This window comes from Homo sapiens, chromosome 3 (genome assembly GCF_000001405.40).
Source record: "Homo sapiens chromosome 3, GRCh38.p14 Primary Assembly".
NCBI lineage: Eukaryota > Metazoa > Chordata > Mammalia > Primates > Hominidae > Homo > Homo sapiens.
This window is the reverse complement of record NC_000003.12, coordinates 179141644-179169528: the sequence shown is the minus strand read 5'-3', so window position 1 is coordinate 179169528 and position 27885 is coordinate 179141644. Positions and strand designations below refer to the sequence as shown.

Genomic DNA, 27885 nt, shown 5'->3' with positions numbered 1-27885 from the left:
ACTGAAAAAAAATGAATTTTAACTGCTTTAAAATAAACGAAGAAAACTTTAAAATGCTCCCAAGTAACACAAAAGATTGAAGACATGGAAAAACATTCCACATTCTCGGATAGGAAGACAACCAATTCCCAAAATGTCAATTCTTCCTTAGATAATCTACACATATGATGTAATCCCAATAAAATGCCAATAGGATTTTTGTGTTTGTGTGTAGAATTAAGCATGCTGATTCTAATGTTTAAAAAAAAATTGCAGGAGACCAGAAAAATTAGGGGAGGGGAGAAGGCAGGGGGAGAGAAAGGTCTAGCCCTACTGGATAGGTCACTTCAAAGAGGGCTTGTGGGGCTGTGAAACCAAGAGGTCTTAACAGTATGACCAAAAACTGAAGTTCTCTATAGGATGCTGTAGCACTCAATGGTGCTATGTTTTCCTCAGGAGATATGACTCAGCCACTCATAAACATAACATGATAGTCCATGATTGTTGACGTGGGAAAATAAATAAACATCTCAAAAGTTTAACCAAACCTTCTCTTCTCTAGAAAAAAAAATTATGAAACTACAATAATCACAATGGTAAGATACGGCTCATAAAGAGCCAGACAAAAGGAAAAAAAACCCAGAAATTAAAAAAATAGACACAGAATGTGTTACATGATAAAGGTATCATTTCAAATCAATAGGGAAGAGACCACCTGGAAACGGCTAGACATTTGGGAAAAAAGAGTGGGTTTCCAATTTATACCTTATATTGAAATGAATCTTAATAGAATAACAAACACAATATAAAAATAAAATCATAAGGATATAACATTTCACCTATATTTGCAAAATTTAAAAAATTGCTAGAACATAGAGCAAAAAGACAGACATAATGAAACAAGGGTGAAAAAGATATACAATAAATCAAAGAGGTTCAACAACTGAATACTTCCTTATTGCACAAGTTCTGAGGTAAGAGAAAAATGGAAGAAAGGAAATTAAAGATATAAAAGAAAAACATCTGGGAGCTGGAGAGACTTACATGTTTAGATTAAAAGGGACCAGTGGGCAGAATAAATGTAAAGAACTATACTAGACAATAAAAGATAGAGATAAAAGCTTAAAAGCTTTCAGAGATGGAAAAACAAGTAATCTGCAAAAGAAAAATTATCTGACTGGCAATGCTATTCTCATCAATAACAAGTAAAAAACAATGCAGTAATTAAAATGCTGGAAAACAATTTGACCAGGAATTCTATACTCAGCAAACTATCATGTGTAAAGAAAAAATAAAAGTCTTTTCAGACAATTAGTTTTCCAAAGTTTTACTTCCCCTGAACCAATTCTAAGGCACTTAATTGATTAATTACTCTAGCCAACCAAAGGTGGAGGTCAAGAAAGAGGAAGAGACCACATGCTAGAAATGGTGGAACTGAACCAGTGGTCAAATAACGTAAACAAATCATTAAGAAAAAGCAGTCCTGAGATAAACTTTAATTACAGAAAGTAATATGCCCAAACTTGAAGATGAAATCTGAATTCCAGAGTAAAAAGTATTCAGGAAAAACAATACAACAGGTTTGAAGCAACAGATGAAGAACTGAGGAGTCCAGCAGCACTAATGGCACGCTGAATACCGTTTTTATGGTTTTCACAATAGAAAAAAGAAAAGTAATTGGAAACTTTAGGGGAAAACAAAAAATGTATAACATCATGCTAAAAATGAAGCAAAAGAGCACAATTTTGAGCAGTATGTGGAATATATGAAAAGATAAACCATATGATCTGAATGCAAAGAATATTCATTGCGTAGTTCATGATGCTGGACACAGATTCAGAGAAAGAAATCCAACTGTAGCACTCTACTTGGTTGTAAAGTGAAACATTTTTATATAATATTAATGTAAATAGTACTAGGTTCAACTATTACAATCTATCTATAGTTAAAAAGAAAGAGGATTTAAATATGGTTATAGAACAGAATGCAAATGTTATCAATACTTGACAATTTAAAAAGTAATTATATATAACATTTTGTAGAAGGGTGGGAAAGACTTGAAAGGAAGAATGAGACACTATTATCACTGTCTAACATAGTGAGGAATCAGGAATATTACTGAAAGTTGATGTGGCAGAAAATGAAGATATGAGTATCTTAAAAGTAGAAAGATAGTAACAGAAGCTAAAGAAATGAATGAAAGGCTAGTGAGATACTGATTAAACATGGTAACAAAATTAAGAAACAATATCAGAAACTTTCAAAAATGGAATTAGAATGCTCAAATTTAATAATCTTCAAGTCCAGTAGCTATTAAGAGGCAATTCTTCCACTTCCCAAATGCTCCTATTATTTACTAAGGTATGTGTATATTTCAGCTTAATACTGGGGAGGGTTATTGTAGATAATTGCTTTTTATAAAAATCTTCTGAGGCACTGAAGAACTCTTTTTGGAAATCCTATAAGATATAACAGTTTTTCAAGTGTTTAATACATTTCAAAGTGTGGTGCCCTAATTTCCATTTTCTTGGTTTCAGTTCCAGAAATATTGGCAGAAAAAGTAAAAAGCTGACAGCTGGGTATAAGATATTACAAGACGACTCTAATTATCTAAAATGTTTCTTTTAAAAGAACAGTTGCTACTAAATATTTCATTGCTAACATTTGGTTTAAACCGTGGCTACATGTATCCTATGGCATACTGGATCTGAATTTTGCAGCTGGTTGTTGATTTCCATCAACACCTTAAGAGTGAAGTCTACAGTAAGGCTAAACACATCTAAACTTTGGAAACTGAGCTTTCAAAACTACAGTGGAAACCCATGTGAATACTTACACACATATATCTGTTTGCCTTAATTGTTGCAGAATAAAATGTTTCCTACATAAATATTAGCTCAATTTGATTAAACAAATATTTGTAGACATCCCATAAGGCACTATAACATGCTTTCTGCAAGAGAAATAAATAAGCATTACAAAGCAGAGTAAAGAAGGTTAGATGTGAAAGTGAGAGACAAATGGCTTAATATCCAGCAATCTGTTCATACCCTAGAGGAATAGGCATTATTTTATTTTTATAAAGTGTGAATATGATGTAAAAGTTTATTAAAACACCTTTACCCATAAAATGATAAAACATAAACTAATATGTGAGCTTTATGGGTAGAAAATGGAGGGGGTAATTTAAATGAACATGTGAGCCGTGTGGGTAAAAATGGAAGGGGTAATTTTACAGTTATTCTCTATCTTTTCTGTAAAGACCAAAACCAGAAAAGAAGCCAGATTTCTTATGTGTAAGTCTTGAGCCTACGCTTACAAGCTGGGTAATTAAAAGCAAATACTTAATTTCTCAAGATATCATTTTCCTCACTGAAAATGGGACTAATTACTCCTTGCCTTCTTTATTGGATTGTTAATGATTTGACAAATATTTAGCATGCAATTATTTTGTGCCAGGCTTTTACTCTAAGATTAAATAAAAGATCTAAAATATGGCATCCCTGACTTCAAGAGGTTCATGGTCTAGTGAGGAAGGTATGAAAAGAAGTGTAATTTAGTATATGTGTGTTGTAATAGAGGCTATGGAAATACAGAAGAGGGAGAGATAGACTTTGTCTAGGAGAGTGAGTCTGGGAATACTTTACTCAGATTACATATAAGCTGAAGATAGTGTACCAAGATCAACATGTTACTGAGTAGGAGAAGCCATAGCAAAAAAGGCTGTGAACCACAGAACAGCATGAGCACAAGAACAGGGGTCCACAATAACCTAGGTGAGCATGTAGCAGTTCAGAGTGACTAGACTGTAAGGTGTCCATGAGAAAAAAATGTAGAAAATGAGCACAGAAAAGAAGGCTGATGCCAAATTGTGAGAATTACAGTAAATTAATGAGACTGCATGTTATCCCAAGGTCTGTTCTTCAACATCTTGTCCTGGGATCATATGCGTAAGGATCATGAGAGGGAAGCCTTATTAAAATTCAGGTTCCAGGCTCAACACAGTGGCTCATGCCTGCAATCTTAAGGCTTTGGGAGGTGGAGGTGGGAGGACTACTTAAGCCCAGGAGTTCAAGGCTGCAGTGAGTTATGATCAGCCACTGCACTCCAGCCTGGGTGTCACAGTGAGACTCTTGTTTCAAAAAATTAAAATAAAAATAAAATTCAGGTTCCCAGTACTATGGATCCACTCAACCAGAATTTCTAGGGTCTGGATAATTTGCACATTATCAAGTCTCCTGGGTGATCTTATACAACCCAAGTTTGAGAAGCATCAATATAGGTCATAAGGAATTACTAAGCTTTAAGCAGATCAATTTTGTATTTTAGGGTGATTATTGTAATAGCAGTGTGAAAGCAGTGTTAATCTCCCCCCAGTCTCTTCCATACAGCCTATTTATAATAGCACACACACAAAATTCTGCTATTTACCTGACAATTTTTACAGCAGTGTGGAAAGTAAAAGAGGAGAGTAGAAAGGTAGAAGGACAGGTAGGGACAGTAAAGTGAAATGAGAAAGGAATAAACTAAGGCAGTGATTATGAGAAAAGATGGGGCTAAAATCCAGAGACATTTCTAAGAAAGAATACCCAAGATTTGGTAATCAGTTGGATTTGGCAGGTCAAAAGGGATAGAATCAAGGTTAGCAGAAATTTCTTTTTTCTTTTTCTTTTTTTTTTTAAGACAGAGTTTCACTCTTGTTGCCCAGGCTGGAGTACAATGGCGCAATCTTGGCTCACTGCTACCTCCGCCTCCTGGGTTCAAGTGATTCTTCTGCCTCAGCCTTCTGAGTAGCTGGAATTACAGGTATGCGCCACCATGCCTGGCTAATTTTATATTTTTTAGTAGAGACGGGGTTTTGCCATGTTGGTCAGGCTTGGTCTTGAACTCCTGACCTCAGGTTATCCACCCGCCTTGGCCTCCCAAAGTGCTGGGATTACAGGCATGAGGCACCACGCCCAGCCGGTTAGCACAAATTTCTAACTTAGGTAAGTAATGATATTATTAAATTAGAACAGAAAAGGATCGCATAAAATAGAGATGTGAAAACATTCTGAAAACAAAATCTAATTGTAAGGTATTAATCAGTTTCCTTTCTAGAGTGCTTCCCACATTTTTCCTTTTCTTAACTTGGATGGAAAGTGTATTCATATTTCTTTCAATGTAAATGAATCCCATGTTTATTACAGAAATTTATTCACTTAAGCACTGACTGAAAGGTCTATTATGGGCCTGGGATTGTGCTCTGTAAGTATCGGAAATATAGCGGTGCACAGATGAATGATGAAACCAAAAGAAAACGTACCTAAGACACCATATTAGCATCTTTTATGTATTCTCTTACAGTTTTGTCTGGATATTTTTGGTTTATTTCTTTGTTTTCTATAGTTTTGTATACTTGTACTCATATAGTATACATAATTTTGTATCTTTTTTCACTACAAAAACATTTCCGCAAATTATTGTAAACTCTTCATAAACATTTTCTATGACAACCTATTTCCACGGGAGATGTTAAACAGTTTAGTTGTTAAATACATAAGCTGTTGTAAATTATTATATCTAATGCTGCAAAGAGAATTATTGGGTCAAACTGTATGTTGATTTTAAAGGCATGCAAATTGTTCACGTGCTTTTCGAAAGGGTTAAACCAATTCAGACTGTCAATGGAAATAAATGGACAAGCACATTGCATGGCACCCTCACCAGCAAAAACATCATTAGAAAAATACTTCTGCTAACTCAAAAAGTAAAAAAAAAAAAATCACTACATATTAAAATTTCACTTCTTCAATTACCTGTCAGGGAAAAACATGTCCCTTATGCTTGTACCTGCATTTCCTCTTTAGTAAATGAGCCCAACTTCTCAAATTCTTTGCTCATTCATCCATATGGGTCATGGTGCTTTTGAAAGTATTTGTAGTAAAAATTTAAAGACAAACATCTATTGAATTTTTGCAGAACTCTAATCCTGGTCTGCACATCTTTTAATTTGTTCACTTGTATGGGGGTTGGGGGGAGAGGAGGTGAGAGAAAGAGATTTTTTTCTTTTTTTGTTTTTTTAAAGATAGGGAGTCTTGCTAGCAGGCTGCATTTAAACTCCGGGGGTCAAGCAGTCTTCCTGCCTCAGTCTCCTGAGTAGCTTGGACTAGAGGGGGCACATTGCCATGCCCCAATCTTATTTGAGAGTCGAACGAATGATTGTTCCTCCTTTTGAGTACTTACAATTCTTGAAGCTTTGGAAAGTATTTCCCCATTCACATAAATGTCTTTTTAAAATGACACTAGGCATAAGTTTACTCTTTTCCAATTAACTCTTCAACTTACCTAGACTTTATTTTGGTATGTAAGATGAAATAAAGATTCAAAAGTCTATTTTCCTAAGTATTTAATACTCTCAAAAACAAATCTTAGTTTTCCTTTTTCTCCTAATTTCTGATTACTTCTTTATCATATTTAGAGTGTTTCTGGGATCTCTATTCCCTTTTACCAATTTTACTATCAATGTGTATGCCAGTATTCAACTCTTTCATTTACTCTAATTGTATTGTATATTTTGATAGCTAATAAGCTACAGGGTTAGCGCTCTGTCCTTCATTTTCCACTCAAAAGATACCTTACTTTTATCTGTTTATAGTTTCTCAGACAAAATTAAAAATTACCTTGCTAATTTCTCACTTTTTTTTTTTTAAAGAAGAGAATTAGGCTAAACCTGTAATTTAATGAGGAAAACTGGTATCTGTAATTGCTGGACTTCCCATTCAGAAACATGATATTCCTTTCCCTGTAACCTCCAACATCCAAGTAGATTTTTAGGTTTCTTCACATTGGCTCATTTATAATTTTATATTTTCTGTTACTATTCTAAATGGGTTTTTTTCCCGTTTTCTAAACAATTACTGCTATCATAAGGAAGAACTATTGATTTTTAAATATTTGCCTTACATCTATTTACTCTAGAATTCTTATTCATTCTAACAATTTCTCAGTTGACTCTTGGTTTTCCTAGGAATGAAATCCTATCATACCAGGCCGGGTATGATATTAAGTCTAACTTAGGCATGTAATCCCAACACTTTGGGAGACTGAGGTAGGCAGACTGCTCGAGCCCAGGAGTTCAAGACCAGCCTGGGCAACATGGCGAAACCCTGTCTCTACCAAAAATATGAAAAATTAGATGGGTGTGGCAGAGTGTGACTCTACAACATGTGTTTAGATAATGTGTTTATCTACTTGTAGATAATTTCTACAAGTAGAAATTATCCTTAAAATGCAAAGATGGCTTAATATGGCCACAACAAACTATCATCTGTGCATGTGTATTCTCTTTGATACATATATATATACACATAAATTCACACTTTTAAATACATGTATTGCATACATTGCATATATAACTTCATCATGTTTCAGATTTCTGTATGTTTTATACAGAGATAAAATGTATATTTCTGTACAAGGTGATATATAAAAACTATATACATTGTACTTTATGAGTAATTAAAGAGATTTTTCAAGGAAAACGTTGACCGTACAATCACAGAGTATGTTTGTGTTGTTTACCATTATATACCCAGGGTCTACCACATTGTCAATTATAGGGTATATTGAATAAACAGGAAATAATGTTTAATCACTCAGCTTTTTAAAAAAATATAAATATACATATAGTGATATTTTCTCAGCCCAAATTCTGAAGGCGCTTTTGAAAAATCTGTTTCATTCCCCAGATGAATTACTTGAGTCATATTAGAACAGTATGGAAATGGAACATTTGGAATTACAAGCATCTCAAAACATCTGGTCCTGTGACCACTGGACTTTCTGTTATCTCTTTATTATTATCACTTTTTGAGACAGAGTCTCATTCTGTCACCCAGGCTGGAGTGCAGTGGCGTGATCTCAGCTCACCGCAACCTCCAACTCCTGGGTTTAAGCGATTCTGCTGCCTAAGCCTCCCGATAGCTGGGATTACAGGCACGCGCCACCACGCCCAGCTAATTTTTTGTATTTTTGGTAGAGACGGGGTTTTGCCATGTTGGCCAGGGTGGTCTTAAACTCCTGACCTCAAGTGATCTGCCCGCCTCGGCCTCCCAAAGTGCTGGAATTACAGGCGTGAGCCACCACGCCCAGCACTTCCTGTTATTTATGTTTCTTTCTCCTATCTGTTCTGTTGTATGTCTATGGATGTGCTAAAGGAAATTCAATGATACTAGGCAGAATTTACTTTATAAAAACACTAAGCAGGTTTCTGTTACCCCCTTTGCCTAGAGACAAGAAGATAGAAAATGTAAATAAGGTGACAAATCTATGTGTTACTTTCACCTCCTTATGGAATCATTGCTCCCTTTGTGCAAACACCCAATTTTTGTCCTATCTGCTCTGTGTGGAGAAGCAGCACTTCCCTTAAGGCCTTGTAATGAGAAGTGTACCCTGAGCCTCCTGTGCCATTCTTGCTAGCTGGACAGAAGACATTGCTACTGAGCCAAGAAGACTTGATCTCTCTTACACCGAGGAAGAAGGGAAGGTCTGATGCAATGAAACAGCACGTTTGCTTATAATTCTAGATCAGAACCATAATAGTAATTTGCCTACTATGTAACATTGAACAAACTACTGTTTTGTGAGCCTGAAAAGTTGGTACTAAGTAGCTAGTAACTGAAAGAGGTATTTCTGGGGTGCCATGTTCTAGAAATGAGTATGTGCAAACAAACAGAGTCTATGATTGTACAGAATCGACATTTTTCTTGAAAAATCTCAAGTCATCCATAAAGTATAATGTATGTGGTTTTTGTATACCACACTGTACAAAATTGTGTGTTGTACAAAGATATAATGCACATATAGCAATCTAAAACAATAGAACTATATACACAATATATAAAATATACATAGAATTAAGAAGGGTGAAGGCTTACATGTGGGGTGCACACGTGTGTATATCAAAGAGAATACATGACAGTTTCTTGTTGCCATATCTGCAGGCCACATTGGAGACCAATACAATTGCTCAGCAAGCCCAAACAGCAGTTTCTCTTCCAGCACCGGATCAAACTGCTGTTTCTTTGGTTGGGCACTACAGGCTGGGTATTAGAGGCCATGTTGTATGAACATTACATGTCTGAATAACAGAATCACACTCAACACAACAAAATGTAACATACCTAGACCTAGGCACTGAGACCAACTGAAAGGATGGCAAATTCTTATCTTTAAGTGTCTACTTTGAAGCAAAAGCTCAGTAGTCAGATGTGATTTGCAATATTTACATTAGTTATGTGCTACATAACAATGTTCTGGTCAACTGTGGACTACATATACAACAGTGATCCCGTAAGATTAATGGAGCTGACAAACTCTCATCATTTAGTGACATCATAGCTGTCATAACATTGTAGCGCAATTACTTTACTTTTTAAAAAATCTAGTGTAGCCTAAGGGTGCAGTGTTCATCAAGTCTACGGTAGTGTGTAGTAATGTCGTGGGCCTTCACATTCACTCACCACTCACTCACCAACTCACCCAGAGTAACTTCTAGTCTTGCAAGCTTCACTTACGGTAAGGCTTTATACATGCATACCATTTTTAAAATTTTTTACACCGTATTTTACTGTACCTTTTCTATGTTTAGATATATTTATATATACAAATACCACTGTGTTACATTTTCCTATGGTATTCAGTATAGTAATATACTGTACAGGTTTGTAGCCCAGGAGTAACAGGCTGTACCAGATAGCATAGGTGTTTAGTAAGCTATACCATCTAAGTTTGTGTCGGTACACTCTGTGGTGTCTGCACAATGATGAAATCATCTAATGATGCATTTCTCACAACATATTGCCACTGTAAAGCTACACATGACTGTATTATTTTTGTCACGTTTTTATGTTTGACTGAGTAGGTACAGTTGATTTCATGTAAAATAAATGAGGTGAGATTCTACTGTATTAATTTGATGTGGGACTTCATTTTCCTAATCATGGAAATGAAGTGATTACACATGTATCAGAAGTGTTATTGTGAGGATTAAGGGAGGCAGCATATACAAAGTCCATAATGCTCCCCCTCCTCAGGTTTATATTAAAGTTTGGGTTTATGGGAATTCAAAATACACATTTGTGTGTACATATAGAAAAATCAAGAAAACTTCTTCCATGGGTTTCAGCTGTAACTCTTCGTGATGTCATTTAAAAATAAGTAATAAATTCTTAACTTCAATGCCTAAATTAGTCATAATCCCTTACTATGGAAACAAACTCTTGGTCAGCCCCAGGGCAATCCAATGTCATGTTATTTTTTCATTGTACATATCACCCCCTAAAAGAGACAAAATTATATGCAGTTTTTCATGTACAAAAAAGCTTGGAAGCATGCTTAATAAAAGTCATTCTTTAAAAGCACACAACAATGAAAACAATTACAACAAAAATCGCAGATAATTTCTGAAGAAACCTCCATATATGTTAACAACAACATATGTAGTTTTTTAAAGTGTGTAGATTTTACTATTATCCTGGTATATGAGAAATACAGACCATGAAATCATCAACTTTAGAAAAGTAAGTTACCCTGCATGACCATCAAGAGCAGTCTAGCCAAAACTGCTAAAACGCAAGAACATATATACATTTTCCACAAACTTAAATATGAGTGAATAGTCTCATTTACATAAAGTAGTAACAACAGTACTAAAACCAGGTAGCCGATACCACAGAAACTCGTATCAGTGGCACCACATAGCTGTTTGGTAATTAAAGGCAAAGACTTAGAGATTGAACTGATGGAAATAATTAAAACACATGGTTGCTTTCCTTATTTTTACATAAATGACTTGTAAAGTTTACACATGTCCATTGAGTGTCCTAGGTAACAAACAATGATATGCAAAAGAGTTTAATATTATATTCAATAAAGACTTCATAGCAAGTAGAATGGACAAACAAGATACAAGCAGCTTGAAAACAGGACGTGAGATTTCTTTAAAAGCCCTGTAATATAAGGACTATGTGACAATACGACACAACTCTTGTCTTTAGTGCATGAAAAAAAGACAAGACAGGGAAAGGAAGTATCTAACAGCACAAAACAAAACTGCTTCAATGGTAGAGTGCTATTAAGATAAGTGCTGGGAATTCGAAGATTCCAGGAATGGACAGGGAAAATCAATCCACAGGAAGCACAGACTAGATGTGAAAATTGTACATTCACTTACTTAATACCTTCTGTCCATTAATTCCTCATTCCTATTAAACTAAATATCCATATGCTAACTTCCCTTAGGAGTAGGTATGAAATAGCATTCAGATTCCTAGAGCTAGAATGAAATTTTAAAAGTTTTAACGAATAAAAAGCAAGCAGTATTGTAAAGAACTGAAAACTACTCTAAACTTGTTTGAAGGCAACCTTATTGCCCACTATCCAGAAATCGGATCCACTGGTAAATTCTTGGAAGGGACAGAATTCAATTCACTTCATAATGTTAAAGCACCCAAATAAATGGATGAATGTAACATGGTTCTTACTCTCAAGGAGTTCACAGATACTTACTGAGTGCTTACTATGTACAACACACTTTACTAAATGCTTTCAAGTATTATTTATTTAATCCTCATTACAACATTGTGATGTAGGTAGTTATTACCCCTCATTTACAAATGAAGAAATACGTATTACCCGGAGAATATTTAGCAGGTTAAATAACTTTCCCAAAGTTACAAAACTAGTAATCTCGATAGTCTGACTCTAGAGAACATGCTCTTAATCATTATGAGATATATTTAGGAAAAGGCAAGGAAAATTAAAGAAGTCTAAGTACATCGACCATATTTTGTGGCTTTTCTAAGACTATCCTGACTGCAAATATCCTGTCCCATTGTCAGATTACGTGCCTCAATTTTGATTGGTAAAAAAAATTAGTTTTAGAGTAAACAAACATATATGTCTGATATTTATACCAAACAAACAAACAAAAAAGACCACAGCATGATACATTTAACTGTGCTTTAGCAGTTATACACTGGTAGATTTACTCAAAATGATTTTGAAGAAATCTAGAGTCTCATAATATCACTAAGAAATCTGAAAGCTGGTCATTTCTAGTGAAGAAAAGTCTCTACACTGTAAAATTACTAATATTTTAAACTGTTCTGAGTTTTACTACCACTGTTATTATCAAGTATAGAAACTGCTTTGAAAAAGTCATGTTCAACTTTTACAATTGGTATATAGTTAGAAAAAAGAACACAAATATCACTTTCATAAATACCATAAGATGCTGCCTATCATGGTCTCAACTGCAAATAATAGTAGCCATTAGATTTTAAGAAAAGCTTCAGAAGGCATATAACTTTAAAATGACATTACTATGCATTGATATTTATATGCATAAAAGTTAGGGTTCCAAAATGTAATTCTTTCCTTTCCCTGCTGTCATGTATGGTTTCATTTCAGATTGGAGTTTGTAAGTAGTGTCTAATTTCAATATTTTTTCCGCAAATTTTCCCATTAATGCTGCTTTGAATTTGATGATATACTCCATAAATCTATATTCACAAAATAGTGGCTGACTTAGCAAAAAATTCCAAGGATGTTTAGCTTGCCAAAGACATTAACCTCCTAAGAAAAAAATACAGTTCAGTCACTGTGGGGCTAAAGGCAGTCAGTTGTTTTGAAATACAATAGTACTTTCAGGTCTAGACCTGCCATAAGTCCATCAGGAAAAAGAACTTGGAAAAGCAAGAACTCTCAAAGAAAAACAAGCTGCAGAAATATGCTTAGCTTGTTGAAAAATGAGTACATCCTCAAAATAACTCTAAATAATATCTCATTACCTGAGCAGTGTGCTGGTTAAAAAATATTCAAAAGTTGAAGGTAATTTGAATATTAACAGAAAAAAACAATAAATCAATAGCATAAACATCACTGCTTTCTGATCAAATACAATGATTTCTGTTATCTTTCCACATACTTATCTGCACAACTGAGGATAGACCTAGAAAAAAGAGGCTTACCATGCCTACAGATTTATGTTTCTAAGATTAGAACACATTTTCTGAAAACCACCTAGAGGGATGAGTTACCAAGGGAAATATGGAATATACTTTCCTAGAAGTCTTTAACAAGTAAGGATGATGGCCAGTGGCTATTAAGGGTGCTGTGACAAGTCTGCTGGCCTTTATAACCCTGGCAACTGGTGTGCAGTAGATGACCTACTCTCAATGTCTGGCAGTCATTTAATTGCTCCCAGTGCCAGTAACCAAAATTTTGACCACACCTGTAGCAATTTATTCTCCAAAGTCACTAACGGTTTCAAAAAAGGGGGGAAAATCCTTCCACTCCATTCTTTTCCAATGGCAGCTTTTCTCTGCCACAGAATTTCACACAAGGACCTTTAAAATATGTGCAAATTTATAAACAGGCAGACAAAATGATCTTAGCTTCTGAAAATACAACAAACTGAGCTAGACTGTCTTCTCTCTAGGGAGTGATTTACTTACTCTTCCCTGAAATAAAAAAACAGGCTTTAACATACTAGGAATCTCAGCATTTGGGAGTTGTATTAGAAATTTTGCAGGTGAAGAAACAAGCTCTGAAAGGCCAAGATCTTAGGCCAAACAGCTAGTTAATAGATGAATGGAAAAACCGTGTTTTCTGATTCGTGATCGAATTTTTTTTCACCACAGCACACAGCCTCTCTGTAACCTAACAATCTTTGCCAAAATGTCTCCAAATATCAATAGAAATAGGCAACTAGTTAATAACTTATACAAAAGTGTTTCTTATATACAGTTATCCCTTGGTATCTATGGAAAATTGGAGATTGGGTCTAGGACCCCTGTGGATACCAGAATCCATAGAGGTTCAAGTCCCTTATATAAAATGGGGTAGCAGATGCATATAACCTACTCCTGTATATTTTAAATCATCTCTAGATTACTTTTAATACTTAATACAATGTAAATGTTATGTAAATAGTTGTTCTACTGTTTTGTTTAGGGAATAATGACCAAAAAAAATCTGTATATGCATAGTACAGAAATAACTATCCTTTTTTTTCCTAATATTTTCAATCCATGGTAAGTGGAACCCATGGAGGCAAAACCCACGAATACAAAGGGCCAAATCTGTGCTCAATAAATGATCAAATAAGACTGGCACACAGCAATTTACCTGCTTTTCAGATAAAGCGTATGGCTCCTGATAGAAATATAAGAAAGTATTTTTATTTCTAAATATGATTCTATGTCACAAAGATCAGTGCTTACTGATCACCTACATTTGGACACTACAGTATGTGCTGAGGATACAATAAACACAACATTGTCTCCTCCTGTTCAAAAACATATGCCTAAAATCCTCTTCATAATAGTGCCTTATATTTTTGTTGTACTTATAAGACATATTCGTCCACTAAGCCTTGCTAACTCCTGGTGAGTTAGGAGAGTTATGATTAGAGCAAAATGATTCTATCCCTATACAGTTTTTTTCTTCACATCACAACACTGATTTCCTTGGCTTTACTATACAAATACTTAAAATCCGAAGTGTACCTGACAAGCATAGTCTGTAAGAATTCTTATAGATTTTTAAAAATCCCTAATTTATTTCAAATGGCAATGCTAGCCATCATAAAGACCCCTTTGTAACAATCGCAATAATGTACAAAAGTTGCTAAAACACAACCTCTTATAAATGAGTACAATTTAAATTATCAAGCTAACTACCAAAGTGATGCTTGAGAAATGAGTACATTGTCAGGCCAAATATAAAATATTATGCTTCTGTTAAATATAAATTTAAAATAATAATTAGTATGTGCACATTTTTTCCTAGTTTTATGCAACTTGTGATTATTTGAATTATCTCATTATGTTACTTAGCAAGCAACACATTACAATTCCTATTGTATCAATATAGAAAAAGACACAAAAATGTGTTACAATCTGTCCCCCACCATATACATATACAAAGTAGCAGTCCGAAGGGGAATTTAGTCCCTTAGGCCAGTGGTCCCCAACTTTTTTGGCACCAGGGAGCAGTTTCGTGGAAGACAATTTTTCCATGGATTGGGGAAGTGTGGGGGCGATGGTTTGGGGATGAAACTGTTCCACCTCAGATCATCAGGCATTAGATTCTCATTAGGAGCAGGCAACCTAGATCCCTTGCATGTGCAGTTCACAATAGGGTTGGTCCTTCTATGAGAATCTAGTGCCGCTGCTGCTCCGACAACAGGCAGAGCACATGTGGTAATGCTGGCCCCACTGCTCACCTCCAGCTGTGCAGCCCGGTTCCTAACAGGCCAGGGACAGGTACTGGGTCTGCTGGCCAGGAGGACCCGTTTTAGGCATCTAAACCAGAGCTCTCTAATACGTATTAGACACAGTTTCACTTTAAGAACTATTTGAAGAAAAAGATAGCTCTAAGCCACCACTTTTATTACAAACTTACAAACTTTTTATTGGAATATTTTAACTTAAAACTCCCTAAACTGTATAGGTAGAGAGGGAAAGAAAGAACACCTAAAAAGTCCTTAACCAGGATCAACTGATTCACATAATAATTAAATGTGAATAAGGTATACAGTGATAAAATATTAGTATATCCAATAGCTGAATAATCTTTTTGAATGATGGAAATCTCTAGCCTTGAAGCTGAATCCTCAGACTTTAACTATATATTGCCTCATATTTATCTTTTATATCCTAACACTTCAGTTTCCCCCATCCACAGTTTTTAATTTTTATTACAGTATTTCTTTCGAATAAGTTACTTATAAAATTCACTTTCACATAAACTTAAAGGAAAACTCAGGCAAGCAAATTTGATTTATACAAAAATAAGACTGGTAACAAGAAACTTCTGCAGAGCAATGTTTTGAGTATCCCTTATCCAAAACACTGGAGATTTCAGATTTCAGATTTTGGAATATTTGCATATACATAATGAGACATACTAGGGACCCAAGTCTAAACATAAAATTCATTTATGTTTCACATACACCTTATACACACAGGTTGAAGGTAATTTAATACAGTATTTTAAATAATTATATGCATGAAACAAAGTTTGTGTACCTTTGACCACCAGAAAGCAAACATGCCAGGTGTAGAATTTTCCACTTATGGCCGTATGTTGGCACTCAAGAAGTTTCAGATTTTGGAGCATATAAAATTTCAAATTTTCAGATTAGGGATGTCCAACCTGTATTACATTCTGTGTAAGTTTACTTTCAATATTACCAAATAAATAAAGGTGATATATATAACACAATATTAAATTTTAAAACACAGTTCCCAAGTAGAGAAAGGTATCAATAACTTCAGTCTGCTGATATCTGTAACCGCTAATCTGAAATTGAAAACATTATTTGTGCCTATGTTCTGGAATTAGTCCTGACCAGAAGACCAATTTTTCCTATATTTCTTATATCACCTGAAAATTACTAAATAATGGCTCCTGAATTTTAAGGTTTGGTGAACAGAGACTTCACCAAAATCTTTGGATTTTCTTTTATAAATCATCCTTAATTTTGTTTCCTTTTTTTAGAATGATGAAGTCTGATTTTACTTATCTTTGGAGACAGTGTAAGTTCATCAGTTTAGACTGTACCCTCCTGCATATTATTATATATGTGTGAATAGTTTGGCACTTGCTATTCTCTCTTGGTTGAAACTTCCAGGCATAATTATTTCCCAAGCAGGTTGACTAACACCTGGGTGTTTGACAGTGGAATGGGGTTCTGAGAGACTGAAACCAAATGTCACAGTGTTTTTTGGTCCCTAATCACACCTGCAGTGCTAACAGTCAGCAAAGTGGAAAATAGGATTTATTACATAAACTGTGTCCTTCTGTTATCTCAGATAAGTCCACTCATGAGATCTAACACTTCCTAAGGAGAAAGGAAATGAACATTTATTAAGCACCTGATCCAGGGCAAGAACTCTCTTGGATCTACATTATCTCATTTAATTCAACAACTCTGTTGAATAGTAATCACCCCCATTACAGATAAGAAAATCTGTCCAAAGTAATCCTGCCAGTAAGTTTAAGAACTAGGTTTTGAACCATGGTGCCTCAAATTCCAAAGCCAATACTGTTGATACTCACAGAATTTTAAGGCTAGATCACTGAGAACCATGTAGAGCACCTCGTACAATCCCTCTGTATTATACATGACACCCAAAGAGATTGAGACGTGCCCAAATGTTTGTGGTGAAACAGGGGTAAGAATTCAAGTCTCCTTATTTCCAGTGCAGTACTATATATGATAATAATCTTCATTTTTTGCGTGTGTGTGTATATGTCTGAGGTGGAATGCCACTCTATACAATTTATAACATCTCAACTGTCCCCAAATGAAATTCGTATGTGTGGCAATTTCAGGGTTGTACATTTTTAGTGACCAAAAATATTAAATGAAATTGGCAAGAATAAAAACTGGTGCTTATGAATCACTACATGTTTTAAAGAAGTCTGTCTCTACTATATTTATTTGTTTAGTCAAGTGCTGTAATGTACAGGCTACTGTGCTTGGCAATAAGAATACTACTGTACAGTATATAAGATAGGAGTCCCTATCCTCATGGAATTTACAGCCTGGTAGAGGATATGGACAAAGAAATAGGCAATTACAATGCAGTGAGGTTAATGCTATGACAGTGGGAGTACACGATGCTATGGGAACAGGAAGCAGGGATACCTAACTCAAGCTAGACTTTTCAAAGGAGGTGATGTGAAAGATGAGTAGGAGTCAACCAGTTAAAGAAGAATGGAGTGTTCAAATGTCTCAGGAAGTACAAACTGTATTTGCACAGGAGAGTATGAAAAGACCAAGGGAGCTGCAGGAGTAGGGAGGAGAAATAAACCTAGAGAAAGAAGCAAGGACCAAATATACAGGTCCTTGACAGCCAGGGCTTTACATCCTTTTCTATTAGCATTTCCTGGTGAACTTCAAAACAAACAAAACAAAACACAGATAACTGGGATCCATCTCAGACCAATTAAATGAGCATCTCTGGGGATGAGACCAGAGTACTTTTAAAAAGCTCCCTAGATTATTCTAATGTGTAGCCAGGATTGAAAACCACTGTTCATGATGTAAAGGAAATTAAATAAAGATATTACTGCAAATATAGGAAATGGAGATCTTCAGTAATTAAGCCTCCTTGGGCCCTAATTTCTTCAGTTCTATTAAAAAACAGGCTGGAGATTAGACGCAGCATGATACAGTGAAAGGAGTCGGAAAATGTTGGTTTTGTCAATGAGTCTGTCACCTGCCAACTGACTTCAGATTAGAATACCATTTCTTAGGGATAGTAATACCACTCTGTCTACGGCACTGTTAATATAGCTCAAGGTAATACTTAAGAAAAACTATTTGATAACTGTGCTAATAAAATGTAAACCATGATATTCTAAGACATATACTTCTAAAGCTGAATAATTTTTAAGATTGTAAATACTTTCACTGGAGATGAAATATTTTATAATGCTTAAGAAACACTTCATTTAAAGAATCACCCCTATCTTGGAATTCAAGATATAAAATAACAAAATAGAGAACTGATCCTTTTAATGCTACTGTAGCTGCTCAAGAGATCAAATGGGATTAAGTTACCTCTCTTCAAATAAACAGATCAACAGAGCAAGTGCCCTTTAAATGGTAATCGTAACTGTTTAAAACTCTTTATTCAGTAAAGGGTACTTATAAGAAGCGGCACACAAAGTAAACTGGTTTAGAGAAAAAGTTATTACAGTCTACTTTATGTTGTGCATTATTTATAAGTTTGGGTTTTTTCTTTGGTTTTTTAAGGGGATACTGATTTGGGATGGAGAGGACCTTATCCTGACAGGAAGGAAGCTCTGCCACCAGAAAGGCTGTTCCACGCACAGAGCAAGCAAAACCACTGCACTTTTAGTCTCCCTTTTAAATATATCAAGGCCCATGACAATTTACACTTCCATGAAGCCATTTTTCAGTTTAAGTACAATATTTGTATTTAGTAACATCTCTTTAATGCTATAACCAATTTAGTTAAATTTTTTTAACCTTAAATAAAAACACTCTTCTATATTTACAGGTGTTTCATTTTTAATTATTTAAAACTGACAGGAATGTCTTTAAAACTTTATACGCACAATCATGCAATATTAATATTCCTTTACTTTCTTGTTATTTCCCCCATGATGCTATTATTACGATATGCTATCATTTTTAAATAAACTATTTTGTGATTTTAATAGGAAAGTACTCTAGTTTGAAAAAGCACAAGAAACTTTTGAAAAAAGCTATGAAGTTTTATTTTGTCCCAAAATGTGAGATGAAAAAACTTAAGCAAAATACCAACACACACACACACACACACACACACACACACGTAAACACACACAGTCCTCTTCAGATAATTTTGGCTGATGACACTGCAGAACAGTTAATCTGATAATTAAAAATTTCCAGAACATGTGATGTTTAGATGGAGATCTATGCTGTCAATCGGACCTCAGTGCTTCAGTTAAAAGGAAAAAAAAAAAACACCAAAAACTTAAAACCTGAATACAAAGACACGTTAAATTGTTAAGACTGTAGTTGCTTTGAAAGCAAAGTGTTTTGATTTATCCAAACTAACTTAGCAACACGGTATTTTGAGTATTTTCCAGAAGTTTTCTTAAAACACGCAATCCAGCACATAAACAAATTTTGTACGGTGCAATGTAAGCAAATACTCAGAAAAATTCAATTTCTAAGCAGGATAACATATGACCAATATTGCCCTCAGTGGTTCAAAAGTCGCAGTAGAAATAATCCCCTGAGATAACCTGGAATTTACCTACCCAAGTATTCTAAGGGGTTCTCCCCGGCCACACAAACTATGATTCAAAACATCGTTCCGAAAACCCAGGTCCTGCATGTGCACAAAGGCGCAGTGCTGGAATGAGGAAGCTTCACCAAGATGAAATCACAACTCTAATTCATTAAAGAATATGCAGACTGTTTTCTAGAAAGACCCTCTTGTTGCGCTCCCTTTACCCTACCCTTTATTTAACCATGTAAACAGTCTCAATTATTGACATAAAAAAATAGCTTTCGATTCCCAAGTCTGGTAACACGGTTGGCCACCATCACTATTCCTTTAGCATCCTAAAATAAACCCCTCGAGCCGAGGTCAAAAACACGCCGGCTGAACGTCTGGTGTTTACATAGCCCAATCCCGGGCCCTACCCTACCTTTCCGAGCCACTTAAGAGCCATGGAACAGGCATCACATAATACACTTAGTAAAGAGACAAGTCACATGAGTCAGTGTCTCAGGTCTATGAATGAAAGATCTAAGCGTTTGTCTCAGCTAAAAGGAAAAAACAACCTCGAAAGGAAGGGTGGGAGGGGAGCTGGCGGGGGTGAGGGGAGCGGTGTTCCTTCCATACCCCTGCCGGGCGATTTAAACCCAGTAAGAGGCAAACGCAGGGCCGCCAGGCTGGCGGGGCCGGAGTCCTCGGGCGTGACAGCCCCTCAAGAAAAGCTCGCGGTTTCGCGCCCGCGTCCCTTGAGCCGCAGTCCTCGCGGCAGCCCCTCCACCCGCGGGCTGGGTGGGCGTGCAGGGCGCGGGAGACAGAGCCACCGCGGCCGGGGCGGCGGCCCTGGGCGCACTTCCTCAACCTCCAGCCGCCCCGTCCCCAAAACTGGGAGTAGAAGCAAAGGAAGAGCGAGGCGGCAGCCAGAGAGAAAGGAGAGGGAGCGGCGAGCCCTCGCCTCTGCAGCTAGGAGAGGCCAGAGGCAGGCGAGGGAGAGGGTGCGGCGATCGCAGGCGAACTCCGCCGCGGGCCGACGCTGGGAGACGACCAGCCCGTAGCCTCCGCCCAACACGGCGGGCGCGCCCGGGAGTCTCCGGCACCCACCCGGTCCCCATTCCCACCGCACCCGCTACCGGCCAGTCCGCGCTCTACTCACGCTCGGGGCTCTTCCAGGCTCCGCGGCTCTAACCGCATCGGGTCCCAGCCCCGCGGGCGGCGGCGGCGGCGCCGAGGGAGAGGAGAGCGGGCGGCACGGCCCCCGCCTCCCGGCCCCTCTCCCCCGCCGCTCCGGAGCTGCCCGGCCGGGCCCGAGCCCTGCCTCGCCGGCGGCCCCAGCCCCAGTCCCAGCGGCCGCGGCAGCAGCAGCCCGACACCTCAGCGGCCGCAGCGGCGGCACCGGAACTGCCGCTTTCTACTTCTCGCTCCCTCTCCTCGCTAGCCCCCGCCACACGCCCCCGCCCCCGACTCCTTTCTCCGTCGCCCCTGTTTTTTTTTCCTTTTGTTTCCAGAATAAACTTTATTGGTCTCTTTTTCCGCTCACATCGTGTAAACAAACAACGAACTCTTCCCCACCCCCTCGGCCCCCCCCCTCCTCCGGCAGAAGAGGGTAAGAGCTGAGGAGGGGCAGAGCCTACAATCCCCCGGAAGCAGATGCGCAAAGAAGCGGAAGCGAAATTGAGGCGAGGAGGAGCAGGGAGTGGGCAAATAGGGTAACAATATGTGCTACTGCGCCTGCGTCTTGCTTTTCCGCCCGAAGTTTATGTACAGTTGGGGCTGCTCTTCTGACGTTTGTTTAATGATCCGTCTTCTGCAGTAGTGAGGGTGTTGTGTCATCCTAGGACAGCGTACGTGTAGTATATTTGTTTCTACGAGCAGCAGGCGAGCTGGGGTAGAGATATAGAAAGGAATATTGGGAGCAAGTGGGTTATTTCACTTTTACACCCATAGAGGAAACGAGATTAGTTCGGGGGTGAGAGGAGGTGCGGTGGCTAACCGCCGCTGTCAGTGGCTAACCAGCGTGGTTATGGATTCTATAATAGAAAGAATGCTTTTTACAAAGCGTTGCTGTGCGTTCTTCTGCCGACATGGTTTAAGTTGTATACCATCCCGAAGGCGGAATGCACTGTCACAGCCCTCTGCAGTCCTTTGACTCACTTCGTGGAGACCTTTTGCTATGCCCTCATTTTTTTTTTTAAATCGAATTCTGATTCGAAGCAGCTTGTAGGATTCAATTCTAACTATTCAGAAGACGTGGGGGATTTTTCGCGTAATGCCAACAGAGACTTCAGAAATGTCATATAGGCTATAGATTTGATTCAAGGTAGTGTCTTGGTGCTGCGTACCTTAGAAGTCTGTTTGCTTGAGAGTAAATCAATCTGTTGACTTTTGAGATTACTACTGATAAGGGTTCGGTACTGTGCGTTTTTCTCCCCCTACTGGTCTTTTGTTGTAATATTGGAAAAGCGTAGGAGCAGTGATTAGAAGTCTGAGATACAAGTACTCCAGCATCGGTTCCTCCTTGAATTTTTAAGTAATAGAGGGCTTGGGAAGTGACCCATCCTAGAGATGTTACAGTCCTACTTGTCCTCTAGAGCAAAACTCTGACCAATAACAGTCTTCTCGAACACCGCACGTCCGTCCATACCCCAATGGTAAATGAGATGGATCTGTTCCTCTTTGTGGTCGTAGTTTCACTTGACTGTATTTCTTTCTTTTCTGTGTTTTCTTTCTTTCGTCCTTTTTCTCCCTTTAGCTCGGATTTTCATCTCACATTCCAGGGGTTTGTGTTTCTAAATGTTTTTCTCGAACCAATGTTCTTCAACAGTTTTAGAACACTGTTACTCCAGAGTACAGATTTTTTTAAAAAAGGAACACTGAATTGCTAGTCAAAGTAAATTTTAAGGCAATATATCCCAAATTGTGTTTCAAGCACAGAGTTATATGAGATATTAATAGGTAGACCTTGGTGGGGAAAAATATACTAGGGATATTTTTCCTTATAAAATTTATTATTTATTTATTATTATTATTTTTTTGAGCCAGAGTCTCACTCTGTAGCCCAGGCTGGAGTTCAGCGGTGCAGTCTCGGCTCACTGCAGCCTCTGCCTCCCGGGTTCAAGCGATTCTTCTGCCTCAGCCTCCCGAGTAGCTGGGATTACAGGCACCAGCCAACATGCCAGCTAATTTTTGTATTTCTTAGTAGAGACGGGGTTTCACCATGTTGGTCAGGCTGGTCTCAAACTTCTGACTTCAGGTGATCCACCCCCCTCGACTTCCCAGAGTGCTAGGATTACAGGCGTAAGCCACCGCACCTGGCCTATTTGTGATTTTTAAAAATGTTTTATTTTTTGTAAAGACAGGGTCTTGCTTCGTTGCCCAGACTGGTCTCCAACTCCTGGGCTCAAGAGATTCATCTACCTCGGCCTCCCAAAGTGTTGGGATTACAGACTTCAGCCGACATGCCCAGCCTAAAATTTATTTTTTAATAAGAAAATGCTAATTACATAATATGTTTTTTGTTATGTGATTATCTGCCCCTAAGAAGTTGTGTGTCATAGCAGAAAAAGCCATACCTGGTACTTGAATGCATGACACCATTCATTGGTACAGGAGTAGCATTTACTATTCAATTCACGGTTGATAATGTTTGCCTTATATGTAAGCCATTGGTCTTAGGTGTCATCTTGCTTTCAAAGGTTTTTGCAATGTTATTCAGTGTTTAAAATATCTATATGATATAAAAATATCTGTATGATATAAGCATCTATATGACCAAACTCATCACTCAAGGATTAGGAGCTGAAAGAAGGTTTTAAAAAAATAATGATTCTCAGGCTGTAAATGAAACAAAAAATGGTATACTTCAAAATTAAATAATTGCATCCTAAGGGTTCTAAAGACGGGAGGTGAAATGTCCAGTATGTAGCTATTGTTCTATTCTAATAATCAGAATTATAATGACAGTTACTTGCCTTTTGGGTTTATTTCCATTGAAAATCATAACTGATACTCAAATATGCACCGAAACATTCTCTAATAGCGCTTAAGTCACTACTAAGCTTTGAAGTCCTTTGTAAATAAGAGTCAAGTTGATTATGTAGCAGTATACTTTAGATGTATAAAATTGCCAAGTCAAACAATAAAAACACACCAAGAGATAACGATATGAGTTACCATGTAGCACTGTTTTTTTTTTTTTTTTTTTTTTTTTGAGATGGAGTCTCGCTCTGTCACCCAGGCTGGAGTGCAGTGGCGCGATCTTGGCTCACTGCAACCTCTGCCTCCCAGGTTCAAGTGATTCTCCTGCCTCAGCCTTCCGAGTAGCTGGGACTACAGGCACGTGCCACCACGCCCGGCTAATTTTTGTATTTTTAGTAGAGACGGGGTTTCACCATATTGGTCAGGCTGGTCTTGAACTCCTGACCTCATGATCCGCCCGCCTTGGCCTCCCAAAGTGCTGAGATTACAGGTGTGAGCCACCACGCCTGACCGAGACTCCATCTTAAAAAAAAAAAAACCATACACCCACACACACATACACACACGTACTTTTAAGATTTCAGTTCTTTTCAAGTTAAGATTTGTGTTGCCCCAGAATATCTTGGTGAATGTCCCATGTGCACTTATGAAAGAATATTTTGTTTGCTATTGTTGGGCAGAATGTAGTTTCTTACCAAGTTGATGATTTTGTTAGCATTGATGTTTCAAAATATAATTGTGGATTTCTTTATTTCTCATTTCACTTCTGTGTATTTTTACTTTGTGTGTTTTGAAGCTTTGTTGTTAGATGTATACACATTTAGAACTCTTGTGTTTTGATACATTGACTCTTTTTAATCAATCTGTACTATCTCTCTTTATTCCTAGTAATATCTTTGTTCTGAAATCTACTTTGTCTGATATTAATACAGCCAGTCCAGCTTTTTTTGATTAATTTTTCCATGGTATTTTTTCCCATCTTTTTTATATCTATTTTTATATTTAAAGTGAGTTACTCGTAGACAACACGTATTAGATCTCTTTTTAAAAATTCCAATCTGACAATTTCTGTGTTTTAATTGCTGTGTTTAATTTACATTTAATGTAATTATATGGATTTAGGCTTGCCATTTTATTATTTGTTTTCTGTTTTTCCTCTATACTTTTGTTTTTATGTTTCTACTTTCCTGCTTTCTTGTGGATTATTTGAAAAATTTTTAATATTCCATTTTAATTTCTATATTGTAGTTTTAATATATTTCTTGGTAATTTTTTGGTAATTCTATGGATTATAATATACATACCTAAAGTTTTGCGGTCTACTTAGTATTACTATTACACCACTTCAAGTAAAATGTAGAAAGAAGCCTTGCAACCGTGTAGATTTACCACTGTCTCCTACCCCACTCCCTGACCTTTATGTCATTAGTTGGCATATGTATTACATTTATATATATGGAAGCCCCATCAGATGTTTTTATAATTTTTGCTTTCAACAGTCATATAGAACTCAAGAGGAAAAATAATCTTTTATATTTACGTATCCATTTACATTTATGTTTTGCTTCATTCCTGAAAATCCATTTTTCCTTCTGGTATAATTTCCCTTTATCCTGAAGAATTTTAACATTCTTTTTAGAGAAAGTCTGCTTGTGACAAATTCCCTTCATTTTCCTTCATTTGAGAATATTTTACTTTTGCCTTCATTTCTGCAAAATATTTTAGCTGATTATACAATTCTCGGTTAATGGTTTTCTCCCCTCCCTGACCCATCAGTACTTTAAAGAATCATCATTGCATTTCTTAGGAGATGAAGAGCAAACCCTGTACTTTCCTCAAAATTCCACTATGTGAGCTAAGAGATCTAGTATCTGAGAAGTTCACCTTAAAACACTTAACAGTCAATGTTTTTCATTCCAGCCATGCCTTGCCTAGAGTCAGATATGAATGTCATTACTATCACACAACCATGTTAAAGTCTAACTGCTCTACTTACACTTAGCACGGGAGGATTCTGGCAAAGCTCCTTTCCATACTTGAAATACAAAACAATTCTGGCCACAGAAAGGAGACAAATGTGTAATGTTCTCAAGTTACCAGGAGTGCACTTATGGAGAAATCAAAGCTTTGAAATTCGTAAAAGACTATTTTCAGCCAGGTGTGTTGGCTCACGCCTGTAATCCCAGCACTTTGGGAGGCTGAGGTGGGTGGATCACTTGAGCCCAGCAGTTTGAGACCAACCTGGGCAACAGGGCGAAACGCCGTCTCTACAAAATAATACAAAAAAATTAGCCGGTCCTAGTGGCATGCATCTGTAGCCCCAGCTACTCGGGTGGCTGTTGCTGAGGTGGGAGGATCCGCTGAGCCCAGGAGTTTGAGGCTGCAGTGTGCTGTGAGCATGTCATTGCACTCTAGCCTAGGCGACAGAGCAAAACCATGTCTCCAATAAGTAAATAAATAAATTAATTTAAAAAACATAAAAAAGACTATTTTCAGGTCTCATCTGTGGTCATTCAAATAGTTTCCCCCAATACGTAATTTTTCTTTTTTCTCTGGATTATATCAAGATTTAAAAATTTAGTTGGGAGGCCGAGGTGGGTGGATCACGAGGTCAGGAGATCGAGACCATCCTGGCTAACATGGTGAAACCCCGTCTCTACTAAACAATACAAAAAATTAGCCGGGTGTGGTGGCGGGCGCCTGTAGTCCCAGCTACTCGGGAGGTTGAGGCAGGAGAATGGCGTGAACCCGGGAGGCGGAGCTGGCAGTGAGCCGGGATTGCGCCACTGCACTCCAGCCTGGGTGACAGAGCGAGACTCCGTCTCAAAAAGAAAAAAAAAAAGTTTAAAAATTTAGGTTTTAAATGGTTTGATTCTGATATGCTGAGGTATTGTTTTATTTCTTCTGTTTGTGTGTGTCTAGTTCCTGAATTTGTAAAATTATGTATTTCACTAATTTTGGGAAGTTTTCAGAAATTACTTTTTCCAAATATTTTTCTGCCCCAGTTATTTTATTCTCTTCTGGGAATCCAGTGACAAGAATGTTAGCTGTTTTGAAATTGTCCTACATGTCTCTAAGGCTCTGTTCATTTTTTTTTCCAATCTTTTTTCCTCTCTCTTGTTCCTCATATCTATCTATGCTGGATATTTTCTGTTGCTATATCTTGTAGTTCACTTACTTTTGTCTCTGTCATGTCTGTTCTGCTATTGAGCTCCCCCAGATATTTTTAAAATCTTAGATATTGTATTTTTTAACTCTTCATTTTCTGATTGGCTCTTTTTTCAATGGTTTCTGTTCCTCTCCTGAGTACCTATACCTTTCTGTTCATTTCAAGTTAGGTCTTTACCTCAGGGACCATAGTTAGTACCTACGTTAAAGTCTTTCTCTGATAATTCCAACATTTGGATCAACTCAGGATTGGCATTTGCTGATCGTCCTTTCCCTTGAGAATTGGACACATTTTCCTGTTTTTTTTTTTAATATGTCGAGTCATTTTGGATTGTATATTGGAAAATTTGAATATTATGTTGATTTGATTATGTGTTCTGTTATCCTCTGGATAATATTAATTTTTTGTTTGTTTTAGTAGGAAATCCATGTGACTAAGTGTACTCTTGCTTTCTGTGGAAAGTGATTCTAATCTCGGTTTTGATTTTAATGTCTTTCCTATGCTGCTTTGGTCCTACGCTGTGGATGTGCTTGCTACTCAGGGGTTAGTCTGAGCTATAGTTAGAATTTTCTTTTTCATTTTTCTTTCCGACTCTTATTTTGGGTTCAAGGGGTACATGTGCAGGTTTGTTACATGGGTAAATTGTGTGTCATGGGGGTTTGGTGTACAGATAATTTTGTCACCCAGGTAATCTCATAATACTCGAGAAGTAGTTTTCAGTCCTCACCTTCCTCCCACCCTCCACCCTCCCATAGGCTTCAGTGTCTATTGTTCCCTTTTTTGTGTCCGTGTATACTCAATGTTTAGCTACCACTTATAAGTAAAAACATGCAGTATTTGATTTTCTGTTCCTGCATTAACTCGTTTAAGATGACAGCTTCCAGCTCCATCCATGTTGTTGCAAAGGCCATGATCTCATTTTTTAATAACTGTGTAGTATTCCATGGTGTATGCATACCACATTTTCTT

At 37.3% G+C, this 27885-nt stretch overlaps 1 protein-coding gene, 1 long non-coding RNA gene and 1 other non-coding gene across 4 annotated transcripts in view, besides 8 other annotated features; 2 read left to right on the top strand and 1 right to left on the bottom strand.

Moving 5' to 3' along the window:
• The window catches only part of PIK3CA (phosphatidylinositol-4,5-bisphosphate 3-kinase catalytic subunit alpha), a 91968-nt gene extending 70565 nt beyond the window's left edge, over positions 1-21403 (bottom strand). Inside the window, exon 1 of one of the 2 annotated variants that reach the window (XM_006713658.5) lies at positions 21310-21403. The gene's annotated coding sequence lies outside the window, so the exon portion shown is untranslated. Of the gene's footprint in view, positions 1-20925; positions 21173-21309 lie in introns of those variants that run through there. The other variant, NM_006218.4, reaches the window with a different exon arrangement.
• On the top strand, positions 319-446 carry LOC124900560 (small nucleolar RNA SNORA25). The gene has a single exon (XR_007096309.1). It is a non-coding gene; the product is annotated as a small nucleolar RNA SNORA25 (small nucleolar RNA).
• Positions 10624-10703: a silencer, noted in NCBI's record as "silent region_14912". NCBI's record gives its function as "represses an Ori minimal core promoter by ATAC-STARR-seq in GM12878 lymphoblastoid cells {active_cell/tissue: GM12878}" and the evidence as "EXISTENCE:reporter gene assay evidence [ECO:0000049][PMID:35858748]".
• Positions 19698-19747: an enhancer, noted in NCBI's record as "active region_20862". NCBI's record gives its function as "activates an Ori minimal core promoter by ATAC-STARR-seq in GM12878 lymphoblastoid cells {active_cell/tissue: GM12878}" and the evidence as "EXISTENCE:reporter gene assay evidence [ECO:0000049][PMID:35858748]".
• Positions 20309-20808: an enhancer, noted in NCBI's record as "H3K27ac hESC enhancer chr3:178866509-178867008 (GRCh37/hg19 assembly coordinates)". NCBI's record gives its function as "activates a minimal SCP1, AML or CMV promoter by ChIP-STARR-seq in naive H9 embryonic stem cells {active_cell/tissue: H9 hESC(naive)}" and the evidence as "EXISTENCE:reporter gene assay evidence [ECO:0000049][PMID:30033119]".
• Positions 20309-21127: a biological region, named in NCBI's record as "H3K27ac hESC enhancer GRCh37_chr3:178866509-178867008".
• Positions 20548-20597: a silencer, noted in NCBI's record as "silent region_14911". NCBI's record gives its function as "represses an Ori minimal core promoter by ATAC-STARR-seq in GM12878 lymphoblastoid cells {active_cell/tissue: GM12878}" and the evidence as "EXISTENCE:reporter gene assay evidence [ECO:0000049][PMID:35858748]".
• Positions 20658-21127: a silencer, noted in NCBI's record as "silent region_14910". NCBI's record gives its function as "represses an Ori minimal core promoter by ATAC-STARR-seq in GM12878 lymphoblastoid cells {active_cell/tissue: GM12878}" and the evidence as "EXISTENCE:reporter gene assay evidence [ECO:0000049][PMID:35858748]".
• The window catches only part of PIK3CA-DT (PIK3CA divergent transcript), a 46603-nt gene continuing 40273 nt past the window's right edge, over positions 21556-27885 (top strand). Inside the window, exon 1 of the long non-coding RNA NR_125401.1 lies at positions 21556-21613. This is a non-coding gene — a long non-coding RNA (PIK3CA divergent transcript). The remainder of the gene's footprint in view (positions 21614-27885) is intronic.
• Positions 21618-21737: an enhancer, noted in NCBI's record as "active region_20861". NCBI's record gives its function as "activates an Ori minimal core promoter by ATAC-STARR-seq in GM12878 lymphoblastoid cells {active_cell/tissue: GM12878}" and the evidence as "EXISTENCE:reporter gene assay evidence [ECO:0000049][PMID:35858748]".
• Positions 22348-22457: an enhancer, noted in NCBI's record as "active region_20860". NCBI's record gives its function as "activates an Ori minimal core promoter by ATAC-STARR-seq in GM12878 lymphoblastoid cells {active_cell/tissue: GM12878}" and the evidence as "EXISTENCE:reporter gene assay evidence [ECO:0000049][PMID:35858748]".